General features: G+C 37.3%; 1 protein-coding gene across 6 annotated transcripts in view, besides 1 other annotated feature; it reads left to right on the top strand.

Annotated features, from left to right (window-relative positions):
• ULK4 (unc-51 like kinase 4) overlaps positions 1–18,558 on the top strand; it is a 715,505-nt gene that overhangs the window by 242,160 nt on the left and 454,787 nt on the right. For 5 of the 6 annotated variants that reach the window (NM_001322501.2, NM_017886.4, XM_047448417.1 and 2 more), the window contains 5 exons: positions 2,083–2,216; positions 4,376–4,497; positions 4,651–4,707; positions 14,639–14,690; positions 14,793–14,887. In NM_001322501.2, the coding sequence (NP_001309430.1) occupies positions 2,083–2,216; positions 4,376–4,497; positions 4,651–4,707; positions 14,639–14,690; positions 14,793–14,887 (460 nt within the window). The remainder of the gene's footprint in view (positions 1–2,082; positions 2,217–4,375; positions 4,498–4,650; positions 4,708–14,638; positions 14,691–14,792; positions 14,888–18,558) is intronic. The other variant, NR_136342.2, reaches the window with a different exon arrangement.
• Positions 8,318–8,927: an enhancer, noted in NCBI's record as "H3K27ac hESC enhancer chr3:41752509-41753118 (GRCh37/hg19 assembly coordinates)". NCBI's record gives its function as "activates a minimal SCP1, AML or CMV promoter by ChIP-STARR-seq in primed H9 embryonic stem cells {active_cell/tissue: H9 hESC(primed)}" and the evidence as "EXISTENCE:reporter gene assay evidence [ECO:0000049][PMID:30033119]".

Below are 18,558 nucleotides of genomic sequence, written 5' to 3'. Positions count from 1 at the left end.
ATTTAAGAGACAGAGAACCCAGTGTGACAGGAGGGAGAGAAAACAAGACGAAACTGGAGAAGTAATTGGGGGTCAGGCCGTGAAGTTCATGATAGGGAGTTTTAAGAACTCCTATGTGAAGAACAATGAGATGCCATGGAAGGGTTTTAAATAGGGGAGTGACCTGATGGACAAGATTAGTTTAGATGTAGAGTGTGCAAGGATTAGAGTGGCAGAGTAGAAGCAGATGGACTAGTTAGCTAGAAGCCTATTGTAATAGTCCAGGAGAAGGAAATATGGTAGCTTGCTATTGGTTTGGAGTGGAGAAGTGAAAGAGTTGGAAGAATATTTAGTGATTGACTTAATATGGGAAATGAGAGAAAAGGAGGTGTTAAGGATGACTCTCCTAGTTTTCTGGTTTGTTTAATAAGGTAGAGAGTGATACTATACAGTAGGATATTGTGCTCTGGAAGACAACCAGGTTTGGTGAGATGATGATTTTTATTTTGGATATACAGAGTTTGAACCTCTTTAAGACAGATAAAATCAGATGTCAAGTCAACAGTTGAATATATTGGCATATAACTTAGATACCGTATTTGAGCTGCAGATATGTAATTGGAAGATATCTGTATAGATAAGTGGTAATTTAAATCATTGGTAGGAATGAGATAGCCTGTGTTAAACAGTTAGAGGATAGTTGTGGGCCTAGAACTCAGTCTTGATAGACTTCAGCATTTAAGAGCATGAACCAGCAAAAGACACAGAGAAGGAACAACCAGAGAAACTGGAGAAGAAAGCTAATAAAGGATGAGGTTATGATAGAGGAACGGCAGGAGTGGCAACAGTATTGAATGCTGTTGACTTGTGTAGTTGAAGGCAGATGAAGGCCCATTGGATTTGATGTCATGTGACTTTAGAGATAGTGATGAGAGAGAAAGCCAGATTGAAGGTGATTGAAGAACAAGTAGGTTGAACAGTGATTATGGCTCTAGCCACATAATTGTTGACTAGAACAGAAGATGCTAACTGATACAGAATCAAGGCTAACTTCCTGATTTGGGTTCATCCTCACGTGATGGGGTGCAAATAGTAATACATGGAAACGCAAATGCATGCATAAGTCTATTGAGAGAGCCACATAAATGCTAAGTATCAAGATTTCAATACATTTTATGTATATATGTATATTATGTATAAAACTCCAATTTACAATGGAAATTGGTTGGAAGTTCTTCCTGAGAAGTAAAAGTTGGGTGGATGGGTGAGAATAACAGAAATGGATAGATGGATGATGGTAACCAGGGAGACTGCCTTACAGGGCCTTTTGCATGGTGAAATCAGTGGACTTGTTGCCCTGTAGGGAGTTGGGGGGAATGGGAACTTGAGAAAATGACTAGTAGGTCCAGCAAAGGGGAGAAAATGTGGAGAGGACCTAAAAGTTTGTAGTAACACCTTAAATGTCTAAGGTGATGGTCCAGTAGACTCCCTAGTTCCGGGTTGGAAGTGGTTGGTTCAGAAATGAATGTTTAAAGAATGCCAGTAGTTTGAAAGAAGAAATAAGTTAGCTTTAAAAGGCAGGTATCATAAAACTAGTAGATAAAGAGACACGTAAAAGCCAGATATTTAGATATTGTCTGCCATCTGTATAACCCAGTGTTAAAATGAAACATTTTCTTTGGATGAGACAATTGAAATTCATGTGAATTATCTAGGGTCCCAAGCAAATTGAATACTAATGATAAACAAATATGCAGTTAACTTGTGGCTTTACTTTGAACCTTTGAAACATAAAGAGCCCTCTTCTGTCCAGACATCTCTTTGTCTTTCATTTATCACCTGGAGAATATTGTTCGTTTCCATTCGCCAAGGCAAATGGAATCAGGATATTAGCAGAGAGATCTGAAGTTGCTTTATTTTCTTTCTTTATAGATGTTTTGAGTTTTCTGAGGCAAAAATTGTGCCCGACAAGTTGCTACAAATCTAAACGTCAATATGATTGGGAGGGTGCCCTCTGGAAACACTTGCCTTGGCGGCATTTTTGGATAGATGCTATCAAGTGTTTTATCATGAGAGGTAATCTTTGCACTTTCCTGTATGTAGACTGGTGATGTACATCGAGAGAGACAGCAGAAAGACCACTCCAGGCAAGGAGCAGCAAAGTGGCAATGAATACCTGTCCAAATGCCTGGATCTTCTCATCTGTCACATTGTGCAGGAGCTGCCACGAATCCTGGGTAAATTGGAGTCTCATCCTCAGGCCCCATTTCTGCTTTTACGTTTCTAAGACTTGGCTTTTAGGCATCAGTTCTTTTTTATTCTTACTTGTCTGTTCTTGAAGGCAAATGCAGACACTTTTTAACGAATATGTAGTTTCAAGATTTAAATTTGCTTTATCTGTTTTTGTAATTATTTTGCATCAATGACATGATGAGGCATGATGAGACAATGCCACATTAAGGTGTGATCCGAGGTAAACTGGCCATTTTAGAAAATATACAAAAGAAAAGCGGTTTAATTGCTTAAAATTGGACTTATGCTAGTATTTGGGGGTAACTTTTCGTAAGTTTTTTTTTGCCTAAATCAGAAGAAAAGAATTTTCTCTTGAAATTAGAGCACAAATTTATTTATTGTTAAAAAAACTTTGAATAGATTTTATTTATTTTTTTTCCCTTGCTGAAACAAGATTTTCTTTTATTTATACAAATGTATTGGGTATATGAGAAATTTTGTTATATGTATAAAATGCATAGTGATCAAGCCAGGGTATTTAGGGTGTCCGTCACCCACCTATAATACATTTTTGTTAACTATAATCACCCTGCTCTGCTATCAAACACTGAATTTATTTCTTCTATTTTACTGTATGTTCATACCCTTTGACCCACTTTTTTTCCTCATCCCTCCACATCCATTCACCCTTCTCAGCCTTTGTTATCTGTCTTTCCATTTTCTACTGCCATATAATCATTTTTTAACTCCCACAATAAATGAGAATAAAAATGCATGGATTTTAATTTTGAATATTAAAATGTGATATTAAGGAATTTTGATATTCATTTAAAGTTCAAAGTTTGAAACTTTCTTTGGTTTGAAAAATTTATCTTAAGATAAAACATCTAATAATGATTTGCAAAGGATGTTTATTACAGCTAAAGAAATACCTTATTTCATTGTTATTTGCAGAAATTAAAATAACCTTGGGAGCATGTATGTGTAGCTTAAATCCCATTCCATGCTTTTCCAGCAGATGTAGCTATAAACCAGAAATGTTTAGAATGTTAAATTTGATCCAAGCTATTATAGTAGAGGGTACTTAGTTTCAGGAATTCAGAACATTAAATCAAAGTAATGAAAATGTCTTCAAGGCTAACTGACAGCAACTTTTTTGCCCCTTACTGATGCTTTAGGAGATTATTTTTGCCTGTTGATGACTGAAAATAGAGCCTCTCAAAATTTATTTCGGATTGTAAGCTTTTTTACCTCAAACCTGAAGGCTATAATTTGGTCAGTTGGTAGCTAAATTCTTTATTACCGGACTTATCCTGTTTTAGGGTATGGCGATAAGATTCTGATGTCCACAAAGCAAGTTTTATTTATTGTTAGATTTATCATCCAATGAGAAGTTTTGGGAATTGACCTCTTTTTACCTCCAACCTATTCTCTTTTTTTTGATAGTTGTAAGTCGTGTTCTGTAATTCGTTCACTTATTATTATTATTATTATTATTATTATTATTATTATTATTTTGTGAGACAGAGTCTTGCTCTGTCGCCCAGGCTGGAGTGCAGTGGCACTATCTCAGCTCACTGCAACCTTCACCTCCCAGATTCAAGTGATTCTCCTGCCTCAGCCTCCCAAGTAGCTGGGACTACAGGCGCACACCATCATGCCCAGGCTAATTTTTGTGTTTTTATTAGAGATGGGGTTTCACTATTTTGGCCAGGATGGTCTCGATCTCCTGACCTCGTGATCTGCCCACCTCGGCCTCCCAAAGTGCTAGGATTACAGGCATGAGCCACTGCGCCTGGCCCATTTATTATTTTAAATATTTTTTCTTGTTTGCAAAAGCAACAAGTGCTCATGATTGAAATTTGGAAAATACAAAAAAAAAATTCTAAAGCTATTACTCTATTATAATAATTTATTAAATTTTATTTTTCATTTCCAAATGAGACGTTAAGTTTATTTATAGTGTCTTTGCAGAATATCACATTCTGTCCCCGGAGGCCATAAGTGTCTGTTGTAATTTCAGTACTTGTGAATAAGTATATCTGCTTATTTTATTTGGAGATTAATTACCTTAGAAGTCCCATGGGTATTCAAGCAATGACCAGTGGCTCCTAAGTATTTGTGGTTTTTAACCTCCACATATGCTCTGGGCTGTGCTTCACAGGTGACATTCTTAACTCCTTGGCTAATGTTTCTGGACGTAAACACCCATCAACAGTTCAAGTGAAACAGCTGAAGTTGTGTCTCCCCCTGATGCCTGTAGTGCTTCACCTCGTAACTTCACAGGTACTATTGTATTGAGGAGGAAAAGGATATAAATTTGCCTCTTCTCTTTGTAAACTGGAGCTGAGAATCCTCAACTCAAAACATTTTTTTTTTATTGAGCTAACGTTGTACATAGCTTCCAGAATTTAATCTGTAGAAACTCTCATCACACAGGTATTTCGACCTCAAGTTGTGACAGAAGAGTTTCTTTTCAGCTATGGAACTATTCTTGTGAGTAACACGAAATTTTCCTTGTTTCTAATAAAATTGTGACTTCCTCTACTGTTTGTAGAATTTGATGTCAGAATGAGGTAATTTAAAAATCCTGTTGGTATTTATTTGTCTCTAGGGAAGTGACCTTTTAATATTTTTATCTGTTGACTGTAATAAAATTTGACATTTGGAGAAAACACATTCTCTCCTGATAATGTATTTTGTTCAGAGACAGCCCAAATAGGGTAAATATGTCCACAGAAACACTTTCATAGATTTTGGTATTAAACATCATGAAAAAATATAATAAAACTGGTGAAAATGGAATGCTGGGAATATAGTATCATTATTATTTACTTCGGCTTATATTGTCCAATCATGTGCAGTTTCTTTTTTTTTTTTAAAGACAGAGTCTCGCTCTGTTGCCCAGGCTGGAGTGCAGTGGTGCGATCTTGGCTCACTGCAACCTCCGCCTCCTGGGTTCAAGCGATTCTCCTGACCCAGCCCCCACAGTGTCTCTTCTTATGATGGCATTTCTCTATGTTAAGCTCAGTTTAGCTTTTTCTTTAATTTTGAGGATACAAGTAGAAATGAAAAGTTATTGCATTATCTTTCACTTCTGTTTTTGCTCACAAAAATTCTTTTTGTTTAGCTCATGAATTATGTTATCTTTTTCCCTTGCTAGTAGTAGTTACAGTATATATGGTTGATAAAATGAGGAGGGAAATACAGAGGGAAAGCTAAAACATTTGTCACAGAGCTTCTCCAGTCTTACTTTGATATTAATAATAAACTGAACAGAGATTTTCAAAATGCCATAGAGGTAACTAGTTAAAATGAGGTCAGCATCTCAATTTTATTGTTAGTTTGGAATTTTTTTAAAAAAAGATTGCCACAACAAGTGAGGATATGGTTTTCTAGAAAGTTCATCATAGGGTGAAGTATGATGTTTATAAGTATAAATGTTGAGTGACTGTTGCTGATTTTTAGGAAGCAATGCAGTAAAGGTCCCTTTGTGCTCAATTTCAGATTTTTATCATTTGAGTACTTTGAATCTTGAATTCCAGAAAGTCTATAATTTTGGTACCACATTTATGAATTTGCAAATTATGAGAATTTTTATTTACCACCATCTTTTTACCTGTTTTTAAGTACAGCATAGGCATCATTTTAACATGACTATGATTTTTCTATTTACAATTCCATTGCGTTGGCATATTGATGCCTGAAATTAGTAATTTTTTTATGGTAACCCACCTTGGATTATTTTGGCACAGTGTTTGTTTGGGATAGGTATAATTGTCTTGTGTTCTTTCTCCCTGTCTTTTTTTTTCATGTGTAGTATTTTCTTCTGCCTACATTAACTGAGTATGCTTTAGGTTTTTAAAGAATTACCAAGATTTTCCAACAGAAAAGTCTTTTTGGACTTTCAGAAATTCTATGTATATTGGGGAGAACTCGTCTGCTCCTTGTAATTCTGTGTTCAGAGACAAGGGAGGAGGCCACACTGAGTGTGTCCATAAAGACTTTTCTATGGGTATTCTGTTGGGTCTTTTCAATATAGGCACCTTTAGGAAATGGAAAATAACTTGGCTGGTGTAGAGATCATTAAGATACTGAAAAAATTTTAGCAGTTTTTTTCTTGATGGTATCACCCAATTAGAGGAAGTTTAGGGAAATAAAATGAAAGTCTTTTGCCTCTCTTCAGTCTATTTTCGTAGTTTGAATCATGCCCAGTCCCAGAATTCTTGAATTATTTTTCTTATTGTGTTTGTTTGTTGGCCTTAACTGTGTGTTCACCTTTTGTATACTCAGTGTTAATGGCACTGATGAAATACTAGCAAAGGGAGAGAATTATTGACTAAAATTCAGGACCTGGATTTAGTTATCCATACAGTTCTTGTGCACATTATTGTGAATTGTTGAGAGTTGAATGTTGCTTCTATGAATTCATAATTTTTCCAGAAGATAGCAAAAATGTTACTCAAGTTACAGTGCCTTACTGCTGCTATGAGGTCTAGTCTACTCATCCAACATTCTACAGACCCTTAGAAATGTACATTGCAAATTAGCATATTAAAGCCCTTTGAGTTTTCTGCTTTAAAATAATTTTTAATTTTTTTTTAGGCAAAGGCTTCCTAAACTATTTGAGAGGGCTTTTTTTTTTCTTTTTTTTGGTGGTAGTGGTGGGGATGCATAGTTATGAACGTTCTGTAGCCCAATCCACAGAACAATTATGTGAAATTGTCCGGAGCATAGTGCTTATTTGGTTCTGGTGACATAGGGAAGTAGTCCATTCATATTTACATACTTAGCATTGTGGATTTTTTTTTTTGCTTGTTTTTTTGCTTTTTTTCTTTTTTCGAGACAGGGTCTTGCTCTGTCACCCAGGCTGGAGTGCAGTGGCACAATCAGGCTCACTGCAACCTCCGCCTCCCAGGCGCAAGCAATCCTACCTCCTCAGCCTCAGATGTAGCTGGAACTATAGGTGTGTGCCACCATGCCTGGCTAATTTTTAAAAATTTTTCGAAGAGATGAGGTTTCACCATCTTTCCTGAGCTGGTCTTGAACTCCTGGACTCAAGTAATCCACCCACCTTGGCCTCCCAAAGTGCTGGGATTATAGGCATGAGCCACCTCTCCCAGCATTGTGTTTTGAAAGACTTACTGGTACATCTGGAGATAAATATTATTTTCAGTATTTCTCAAAATGTATCTCATGCAGTAGCTATTGTCTTATGGCAGGCATATTGTCCTTTCATATTTTAAAGATATGATTTAATTGGGATATTCAAGCTTAGTCCACTTTTAGAAGCTGTATCCAGTAGCAGCAAGCCAAGAACTTCTTGGCTTCCCCTGAGGCAGCTCTTCATGAGCTGCTGGCCTGCCTTGGGGTGGGTGTGGAGATAGCAGCCAGGGTTAGTGTGATCTCTGTGCATTAGAAGGGTTCTTAAGGAGCAGACTGGAGAAGCGGGGATTGGAACTGTGCTTCCCATTGACTTCATTTTTATAATGGCACTAGGGCATGGTTTGCCTATTTGACCTACAGACATTTTTTGTTTTTTTGGTACAAAAATTCAGGATACTTCTTATATATGGAGGCATAAATACAAGAATTAATTTTTTGTAAATTTTTTTCCCCCAAGGAAAATGAAGTTTTGGTCACCTTATATTTTAAAGAGACTAGCATTTGGAAACAATTCAGCAGAGTAATTTTAAACCATTATCAAGCTTTGAAACACTCCTGGAAAAAGAGGACTACCCAGCTGATAATTGCTATTTTCACTTCTTATTGGCAGAAGCAGCCTGTTGTCTTACTCAGCTCCCTCTCCAGGTTTCAGCAGTCTAGTCTCTGGGGAAGTTCTGTGGTGAATACCATGCTTCTTTTGGTCCTCCATTGAATTGGGCTGGGAAACAGGAAGTAGTAAATTAAGGAAATATTTTCAAGAGCTCATGATGTGTATTAACCTAACATTCACTATATTTCCTATGTCCTTTTGAAAATGCATTTGATTAATGATCAGAGGAAGCAGACTTTGTTGTGTTTAAGTTCTGGCCTCATTAGTTTATGAAAGTATGATGGCTTGTGGTGGTTATAGTTTTCTACAAAAAATAACTATGAAAGGTTATACTTCCTGCCCTCTGTAGATTTTTATGTACAGGAATGCTGGTTTATTGATAGATATTGGCTTCAGCTGCAGAAAAGCCAGAGCTAGTGCACTCTTGTATTTTTGAAAACATGATAGTATATATTTACTTATTTGTTGCCACCTAGATATTCTTGTCTTTTTTCCTTTAACATATCATGAATTTGTATCCCAGTTTGCTGTAGGAGCTTTTTTTCAGCCCCTGTTGGGGATCACTGAATGATATTGAGAGCGCTGGCACACACTGCTTCACACCCCCTAGCCAGCAGACCTAGCTCAGGGTGGGTGGTCTTTTTTGCTCCCCTGCTGAAACTCCCATCTTTGAAGTTTGCACCATGAGAAGATATTGTGTCACCCCCTGTGTTGTGGTCATCTGCAGATTTCTGGGTCATTGGCCTTTGTTCCTCAGCATTCCTTTAGCACTTGGCTCACCAAGAGCCTCTCCTTGCCTCTCTTGCATCATTGGTGGGGAATTTGATATCCCTCTGAAGGATCCTTCCAGTGCCTCAGCCTTGCAGCTCCCTGGCTGCTTCTCTCCCCAAGAGCTTGTCTGTCTTCCCATCAGCTGCCTGCTCCCATGGTCAAACACTTGACCTTACTGTCAGCATCCGCTTGTCGGCCCACCACCCCTGATTTTCAGCTCATTTCCTCTCCTCCCCAACTCCCACAACCCTTCAGCTCCTGTGAGACTTAATTGTTCCTACCTGCTTTCTGCTCACCATCCTGCCCTGCCAGGGCTCTGCTTTTTCACTTTCTCTTTACTCCACCTAGAATGCCTGGTCCAGCATTAGTCACAATCTTTTTTTTTTTTTTTTTGAGACAAGAGTCTCCCTGTGTCTCCCAGGCTTGTGCAGCGGAGCGATCTCGGCTCACTGCAACCTCTGTTTCGTGGGTTCCAGCAATTCTCATTCCTCAGCCTCCCAAGTAGCTGGGATTACAGGCGTGTGCCACCACTCATGGCTAATTTTTGTAGTTTTTGTAGAGATGGGGTTTCACCATGTTGGCCATGCTGGTCTCAAACTCCTGACCTCAAGTGATCCGCCTGCCTCAGCCTCCCAAAGTGCTGGGATTATAGGCATGAGCCACCACGTCCGGTTCTCTGACAAATCTTAATGCTAGTTAAATTTAAGTCTCCACCTACCCTAGCCCTGCTTTGAGTGGCTAAATATGGCTGGGGGCAGGGGAGGGGGAAACAGTGCAAATGACAGGTCTCTCTTAAAATTCACATCAGCCAATGACTATATGTTCCTTTCTCCTTGAATCTCCAATGCCTACTACCCCGTCCTCACTCTCACCTCATTACTCCCTATTACACTGAGAATGAGAAGGAAGAAATATATCAAAAAATATTGAAATTGGTAAATGAATGAAAAATTTGTGGGAATTTTTAAAAAATTAAATAGGGGAAGTATAAGGTAGGAAATAAAATAAGCCCATAATTCTTCATAATAAATAATTAATAATAATTTCAGCATTTAGACAAGCTTTATTTATATATATATATGTGAAAAAGACAGTACATGTGAGTGGTTAAAAAGTCGCAAGGGAAGAGAAAGGCAGAAAAGGCAGTGAAGCATACCTCCTCAGGTTCCCAAAGGAAGCAGTGCTTGTCCTTTCCTGTGATCTCTTCCACAAAAATTATTGTTCACATCACCAGCATTTGTGTATTATGTGTATATTTTTAAGAGAATTACACAGAAGGGATTGTTGTTACGTACACTACTCTGTGTCTTCTTTACTTAGTAATCCGTAGACATTTACGTACATGTGTTTAAGTCAAAAGATCTCTCTCTCTGAGTTTCTTATTCAACATCAAATTTATATTTTATTCGATAAAAGTTATGTGTCCATTTTGGAATTATGTGAAATAATTTTAATAAAATTATCATGAAAAGCATACATTGCTGCTTTTAAAAATTAACTCGGCCAGGCATGGTGGCTCACGCCTGTAATTCCAGCACTTTGGGAGTCCGAGGCAGGCAGATTATGAGGTCAGGAGATTGAGACCATCCTGGCCAACATGGTGAAACCCCATCTCTACTAAAAGTACAAAAATTAACTGGGCGTGGTGGCGCGCGCCTGTAGTCCCAGCTACTTGGAAGGCTGAGGCAAGCAAATCTCTTGAACCCGGGAGGCGGAGGTTGCAGTGAACCGAGATCATGCCAGTGCACTCCAGCCTGGTGACAGAGCGAGACTCTGTCTCAAAAAACAAAACAAAACCAAACAAACTCCATTTTAAAGTCCATTTTGTTTATTTGTAGACCAAAAAAGAATTGAAGATGTCCTCTGTTTTCACTTTTTAAAGGGCTTGCATTTTATAGGCTTTCTGATTTTCTTTATAACCTAGACAATAAATGTCTTTAAGTTTTTTTTTCTTATTTTAAAGGTAATTTATGCTTATTTATTTAAATTATAATTCATGCTTATTAAAGAAAATGTGGAAAAGTGTAGTGAAATTTGAAGAAAATAAAATTATCTGTAACTCTACACTAGGAGACAACCATTGTTAACATATTGTTGTTTTCTTACGTTTTCCATTCATATAGATGCATTTGTATTGTAGAAACAATTGTTTATGTATCTATAACATGTATGTGACATACACAAATAAATATGGTTGAGACCTTCTGTATCCATAGATTTGTATTCTACCTTTAAAAAACATAGGTTGCATTTAAGTATTTTCCTATAACTTTAAAACATTCTTTTTAAAAACATTTTAAAATTTAATTTTAAATTGATGAATAAGAATTGTATACATTTATTGTGTACAACAGATTGTTTTGAAATATGTGTACATTGTGGAATGGCTAAATTGAGCTAATAAACATATCTGTTACTTCACATATTTGTTTTTGTGGTGAGAAAACTTGAAATCTATTACCAATTTTCAGGACTACATCTTTATTAACTATACTCACCTACTGCAACCTCTGTTTCGTGGGTTCCAGCAATTCTCATTCCTCAGCCTCCCAAGTAGCTGGGATTATAGGCGTGTAATCCCAGATCTTTACTTTAGATCTCTTGATACCTTATTCCCTCTATATAATCAAAATTTTGTGTCCTTTGACCAATGTCTTTCCCCTACCCCCAGTCCCTGGTAACTGCCATCTCTTCTCTACTTCTGAGTTCAACTTTTTTAGTTCCCACCTGTAAGTGAGACCACATGATATTTGTCTTTCTGTGCCTGGCTCCTTTCACTTACATAATGTTCTCTAGGTTTATCCATGTTGCCACAAATGACAGGATTTCCTTTTTAAAACAATTCCATCGTGTATATTTGCCACATTTAAAAAATCCGTTCATCTGTTGATGGACAGTTGAGTTGATTCTATATCTTGACTATTGTGAAGAAAGCTGCAGTGAACATGGGAGTGCAGATATTTCTTCAACATACTGATTTAATTTCCTTTGGAAATATATATATATATGTATATGTATTTATTTCAGTAGTTGGATTGCTTAATCATATGGTACTTATATTTTTAATTTTTTTGAAGAATTTTCATAGTATTTTTCATAATGGCTGTACTAGTTTACATTCCCACCGACAGTGTGCAAGAGTTCCCTTTTCTATACATCCTCACTGGTCCTTGTTATCTTTTATCTTTTTGATAATAGCCATTCTTATGGATGTGAAGTGATATCTCATTATAGTTTTAATTTTCCTTTCCCTGGTTAGTGATGTTGAGCATTTTTTCATATACCTATTGACCATTTGTATATCTTCTTTCGAGTAATGTCTATTCAATCCTTTGACTTTTTTTTTTTTCTTTTTTTGGAGACAAGGTCTTGCCCTGTCACCCAGGCTGGAGTGCAGGGATACCGTCATAGCCCACTGCAGCCTTGATCTCCTGGGCCCGAGTGATCCTCCACCTCAGCCTCTGAGTAGCTAAGGCTACAGGTGCATGCCACCATGCTTGGCTAATTTTTTATTTTTCTGCGGAGACAGTCTTGCTATGTTGCCCAAGCTGGTCTCAAACTCCTGGCCTCAGATTATCCTCCTGATTTGGCCTCTCACAGTGCTGGGATTGTAGGTGTGAGCCACTTCACCTGGCCTGACCATTTGAAAACATTGGGTTATTTGCCTTCTTACTATTGAGTTGAGTTCTTTATATATTTTGCATATTCACCCCCTCATAGATATGTGGTTTACAAATATTTTTTTCCCATTCCGTAAGTTGTCTCTTCACTCTGTTGTTTCCTTCAGGGTGCAGAAGCTTTTTATGTTGATGTAATCCCATTTGTCTACTTTTGCTTTTGTTGCTTGTGTGTTTGGGTCCGATCTAAAAAAATTATTGCCCAGACCAATGTCATGGAGGTTTACCCCTTTGTTTTTCTCTAGTTGTTTTGCAATTTCAGGTCTTATGTTTTCTAGCATTTTAATGGTTACTCTTCTGTTTGTATGAACTATGTATAGCTTGGTATAATTTCAGTAAGATTCAAAAATACACAAACAATATACTATTTAGGGACACATGTATATGTGTTAAAACTATTTTAAGAAAACCAAGAAAATGATAAATACATGATAGTGGTTATCTCTGGAAGTGAGGTAGGCAGATGGGATGGGGGAGTTTATACAACCAATTGGAAATGTCTTAGTTCTTAACTTGAGTAGTGGGTTTAAGGGTTTTCTTTGTAACACAAAATACATACCTATGTTCTTTTGTATATGTTACATAGATTCTATTCTCTCTCTCTCTCTATATATATATACACACACACACACACACACACACACACACACACACACACATATTTTTTTTTTTTTTTTTTTTGAGACAGAGTCTCGCTCTGTCGGCCAGGCTGGACTGCAGTGGCATGATCTTGGCTCACTACAACCTCCGCTTCCTGGGCTCAAGCAATTCTCCTGCCTCAGCCTCCTGAGTAGCTGGGATTACAGGCGTGTGCCACCATGCCTGGCTAATTTTTGTATTTTTAATTGAGACGGGGTTTCACCGTGTTGGCCAGGCTGGTCTCGAACTCCTGACCTCAAGTAATCTGCCCGCCTTGGCCTCCCAAAGTGCTGGGATTACAGGTGTGAGCCACTGCGCTTGGCCTATGTTAGACCAATTTCTACTGTGGGCTAATCGCTTATACTTAGTTACTTTTTAGTTCCGAGGTCATCTTATGTTTTATTTGCTATTTGTTACCATATATAAAATAATATATGTTATTTTGTTTAATATATATTTAATTATATATATTTAATATATATAAATATATATATTAAATATATATATAAATATATATATATTATTTTGTTTATTAGTGGCAAGAACTCCGTTGCAGCGTTCTTGCTGTCAGTAACATGGGTGCTCTGCCTAGCATGGCAGTGATTGTTTCATTGTCATGGAGTACCTTTTCTGTCCAGAGCATTTGGCCAGAGACCAGGAAGCTCATTCATCTGGGGAGCTGAGGCCTCAGAGCTCACAGCCGAGCTACTAAGGCCTTCCTCTCAAACAGCAATGGGAGTCATCCGGCAAAGGAGGCACTAGCATGGTGCATGGGAGCGCAGATAAGGGGGTTGGAATAAGAGGTATCTAGGAGGAACTCAAAACAGTGGCGAAATTTGAAGACAGGCCTTGAGAGCGAAACTACTATCTTGACACAGTTTGTACTCAGGGTAGCTAAAGCTTGATTGACCTTCCTTTGAGATGACTGTTTTCCCTGGTTAGGTGCCATTCGAACTCTCTTCTGATATGGCGAGCAAGTAATTGTGGTGTATTATTGGACATGGTTATGTATCAGTTATATTATTCTCACTTTCGTAAATGCTTATGTTAACATTGACTTTATTCCAACATTAAATCTCATTGATAGTGATTTGTATATTTAAAAATGATTCTTTGGGAGGCCGAGGCAGGTGGACCACCTGAGGTCGGGAGTTTGAGACCAGCGTGACCAACATGAGAAACCCCATCTCTACTAAAAATACAAAATTAGCCAGGCGTGGTGGCACATGCCTGTAATCCCAGATACTCAGGAGGCTGAGGTGGGAGAATCACTTGAACCTGGAAGGCAGAGGTTTTGGTGAGCCGAGATCGGGCCACTGCACTCCAGCCTGGGCAACAAGAACAAAACGCTGTCTCAAAAAAAAAAAGAGATTATTGTTTAGACTTTATGTATATTATTTAATATACTTTTGTAACTATAATAATATAATATGTATAGAGTATTTAATACTGTCTATGAGTTATTAAAAACAATAGGTACAGTTTTGGGCAAAATGTAAACTACCTATATTTTATTTCAGAGTTACTTTGAAACTCTATTTATTAAAAATTTATTTTTTTTCAGAGTCATATTAAATCTGTAGACTCAGGAGAAACGAACATAGATGGAGCCATAGGTGAGTAGACCCTGGAACATTTTGTGTCTTTGTTTGAGGTACTTTGATATTATGATTTAGAACATGTAAATAAACACCTATAATAATTAACTGTATTTCTAGGACTGACAGCATCAGAAGAATTTATCAAGATCACATTGTCAGCTTTTGAAGCAATAATACAGTATCCTATTTTATTGAAAGACTATCGCTCCACGGTCAGTTCTGGCAGCTTTTGAAAAAAGCTCCTTTTAAATTTACTTGGTAATTCCTTATATAAAGAGGCCTCGTTTACAGTGCTTGGCTCATATGTGTTCCTCACATGAAATAACCATTCAGAACCCCCCTACCCTGGCAGGATGAACATAGGAAATCCCTTCCCTTTGTTGACTTTCTTGGCGTTTTTCTTTATTATTCTCTTTCCTTCCTGGTCCACACCTATCCCTCAGCCTACTTTCTTCTTGCCTGATTATTTGTTGCAACTGGTAGTACAAACCTTCAGTGCAAGGTTTCTCAACCTTGGCACTAAAGGCATTTTGGGATGGACAATTCTTTGTTATGGGGCTGTCCCGTGCATTCTGGGATGTTTAGCAGAAACCCTGACCTCTACTCAGTAGATGCTGGTAGCCCCACTCCGTCTCCCTTCAGTTATGACAACCAAAATTGTCTCTACACATTGACATATGTCCTCTGGGTGGCAAAATTGCTCCCATTTGGGAAACTGTGTCTTAGAAGGATCCTTAGGTGAGCTGCTTGTTGACTTTAGGAGAAGGAAATCCTCCGTCCCTTTCTTTCTGCAGAAAGGTCCCCAGAAGAGGAGCCAGTTAGGAAGACAATTAGCTTATGGTGCAAGGAGCAGTATCAGGTTTTGCCAGGCAGTGGCTTTCCCTAGAAGCTGCTGTGGAGCAGACACATGGTTCCATCCTTCCCTCCTTAACTTTCCCATCTCCCACCCCTGCCCCTCTCACTGAAGCACTGGCGATTTGGTATAGGGAGGAGGTGTTTCTTGTACCCCAGCTCATGCCTGTTTCCAGTGTTCTGTCCCATTTAGCATTTGACCCAAGCAATAGTGACTGCTTTTAGATAACAAATTATGTGGGCATCCACAGCATAACCCAGCAGAGAGTTTGATGTGAAAATGTTTTTCAAATTTCCAACAACTAACCCTAAAGGCAAAATTTTAGATAGCAGTCAATCATGAGTTGTGAATTGCCTGTAATAATGAATAAAAGTAATGAATTTAGAAATAAAAACTGTACTTAGATATTATGAAGTAAAGAAAAAGTTGATTTTGACACCTTCATGGTCACGTAGATACCATTGTAGAACTGAATTCTTCAGTTTGTTTCCTCACATATTTCTCTACCCTCTGCCCCCACCCTTCAAACACAGTTAACTTGTGTGTGTGTGTGTGTGTGTGTGTGTGTGTGTGTGTGTGTGCATGCGCATTAAATCCTTCACTTAAATACTATATTCTGTGGCTTCTGACATGTTGGAATTAGCTCAGTTCTACTTTGGGTTTTTTTTTAAGACAGATTTGGAAATTTGAATTTATAAAACATGGCTTAGAATGCCATTGTTTCATTTTGCTAATAGCTTCTGTTTCTTTGTTCTTTGATTGTTGTAATTATTTTTATTTCCTTTCTTTTTCTTTGGGTCTATTTTGTATTCCTTTTCTAACTTTTTGGGGTAAATATTTAGCTTGTTAATTTTTCATATTTCTTCTTTTCTAATTTATACATTTCAGATTAGGTTTAAATACTGCGTTAGCATCATCCCACAAGTTTTGGTATATATAGTTTTAATCTTCTGGTTAAAATATTTTATATTTTTCTTTATTGACTCATGGGTTATTAATATATATGTACTTAAATGTCATGGATACATTTATCTTTGTATATTGATTTCTAGTTTAACTGCTTTGAAGTTAGAGAATGTAGTCTGGATGATTTTAATATGTTGAAATTCATCAAGTCTTGGTTTATAGCCCATTATGAGGTCATTTTTTGTAGATATTCTGTATGTTTGAAAAAAAAATACATATTTTGCAGCTGTTCCGTGCAGTGTTCAATATATGTTCATCAAGTAATTTATTAGTTATCTTGTTCACATCTTGTCGTTGGCCCGGCATGGTGGATCACGCCTGTAATCCCAGCACTTTGGGAGGCTGAGGCGGGCAGATCACTTGAGGTCAGGAGTTCAAGACCATCCTGGCCAACATGGTGAAACCCCGTCTCTACTGAAAATACAAAAATTAGCTGGGCATGGTGGTGTGTGCCTGTAGTCCCAGCTACTCGGGAGGCTGGGGCAGGAGAGTCGCTTGAACCTGGGAGGCGGAGGTTGCAGTGAGCTGAGGTTGTGCTGCTGCACTCCAGGCTGGTGACAAAGCGAAACTCCATCTCAAAAAAAAAAAACAAAACCAAAAAAAAACAAACAAAAAAAACTTACTAATTTTGGCCTGCTTTTTCTATAAATTACTGAAAGAGATGTGTATAAATCTCCTATTACTATTATGAATTTATCTCTTCTTGTAGTTCTGACAATTTTTGTTTTATGTATTTTGAGGCCATGTTATTAGGTGTATGCAAATTTCAAATTATGTCATCTTATGAAATCAGCCTTGTATCATTGTGAAGTCGCCCTCTTTATATCTAGTAATGTTTTTTGCCTTACCCTCCTTTGTCCCATTCTAACATAATCATGCAAACTTTGTTTTGATTAATATTTGCCTGCTATATGTTTTTTCATTCTTTTCCTTCAGACATCTACTTTTATGTTTTAGATCTATGTAATAGAAACATCATATAGTGTTTTAAAATTAATTTGTCTGGGCCAGGCGGGATGACTCATGCCTGTAATCCCAGCACTTTGGGAGGCCGAGGCAGACAGATCACATGAGGTTGGGAGTTCAAGACCAGCCTGGCCAACATAGTGAAATCCCATCTCTACTAAAAATGCAAAAGTTAGCTGGATGTGGTGGCACTTGCCTGTAATCCCAGCTACTCTGGAGGCTGAGACAGGAGAATCGCTTGAATCTGGGAGGTGGAGGTTCAAGCCACTGTACTCCAGCCTGGGTGACAGAGCAAGACTCTATTTCAAAATAAATAAATAAATAAATACATACATACATACATAATTAAAAAATTAAAAAATTAATTTGGCCAGTTTTTTTACTTCTAACTATAGCATGTACTTCATTTACACACTGTAATTGTTGGTCTGTTTGGATTTCATTCTACTATATTCTTTCAAACATTGTCATACATTATTTTCTTCTTACCTACTTCCACTTTCTTGTTTTATTGACATTTTATTTTTCATTTTGTTTTTTCCCTATATAAGGTTGGTATTTATATATTTTCTTTCTATTCTTTTACTGGTTACTTTAAAATTTACATCATGCCTATTAATGTATTAAAAGCTAAACTTAAAAAGAAACTTTCTTTTCTTTTAGTAATATACAGACCTTAGCCTGCTTAACTCCACTTAGTCCCCTCATGATGTATATGTTATTGTTGTCTGGGATTTTCAAGTCTATCTTGTTTTGTTTCTCTCTTTTAAATATCCACCAGACTTTACTATCACTACTTTAATATAGTTAATGTTCATTTACATTTATTCACGTATTTACTACTTTTGTATGCTTCTTTTTTTAGTTTTCATTCCTGTCTTCACTTATTTCTGACTGAAGTACATCCTTTATAGTTTCCTTTAGCTTACATGTGCTGGTGGCAAACTATCTGTCTGATAAAGTCATTCTTCCTTGAGGGATATTTTGCTGAGTATTAAATTTCAGTTTGGTAGTTGTTTTTGGTATTATTTTTCAGCACTGCCCAGATGTTATTTCATTCTCTTATGTTCTGAATTGTTGCCATTGACAGGTTGGTGA

The sequence above is a fragment of the Homo sapiens genome, chromosome 3 (assembly GCF_000001405.40).
Source record: "Homo sapiens chromosome 3, GRCh38.p14 Primary Assembly".
NCBI lineage: Eukaryota > Metazoa > Chordata > Mammalia > Primates > Hominidae > Homo > Homo sapiens.
This window is presented reverse-complemented; position numbering and strand designations above follow the sequence as displayed.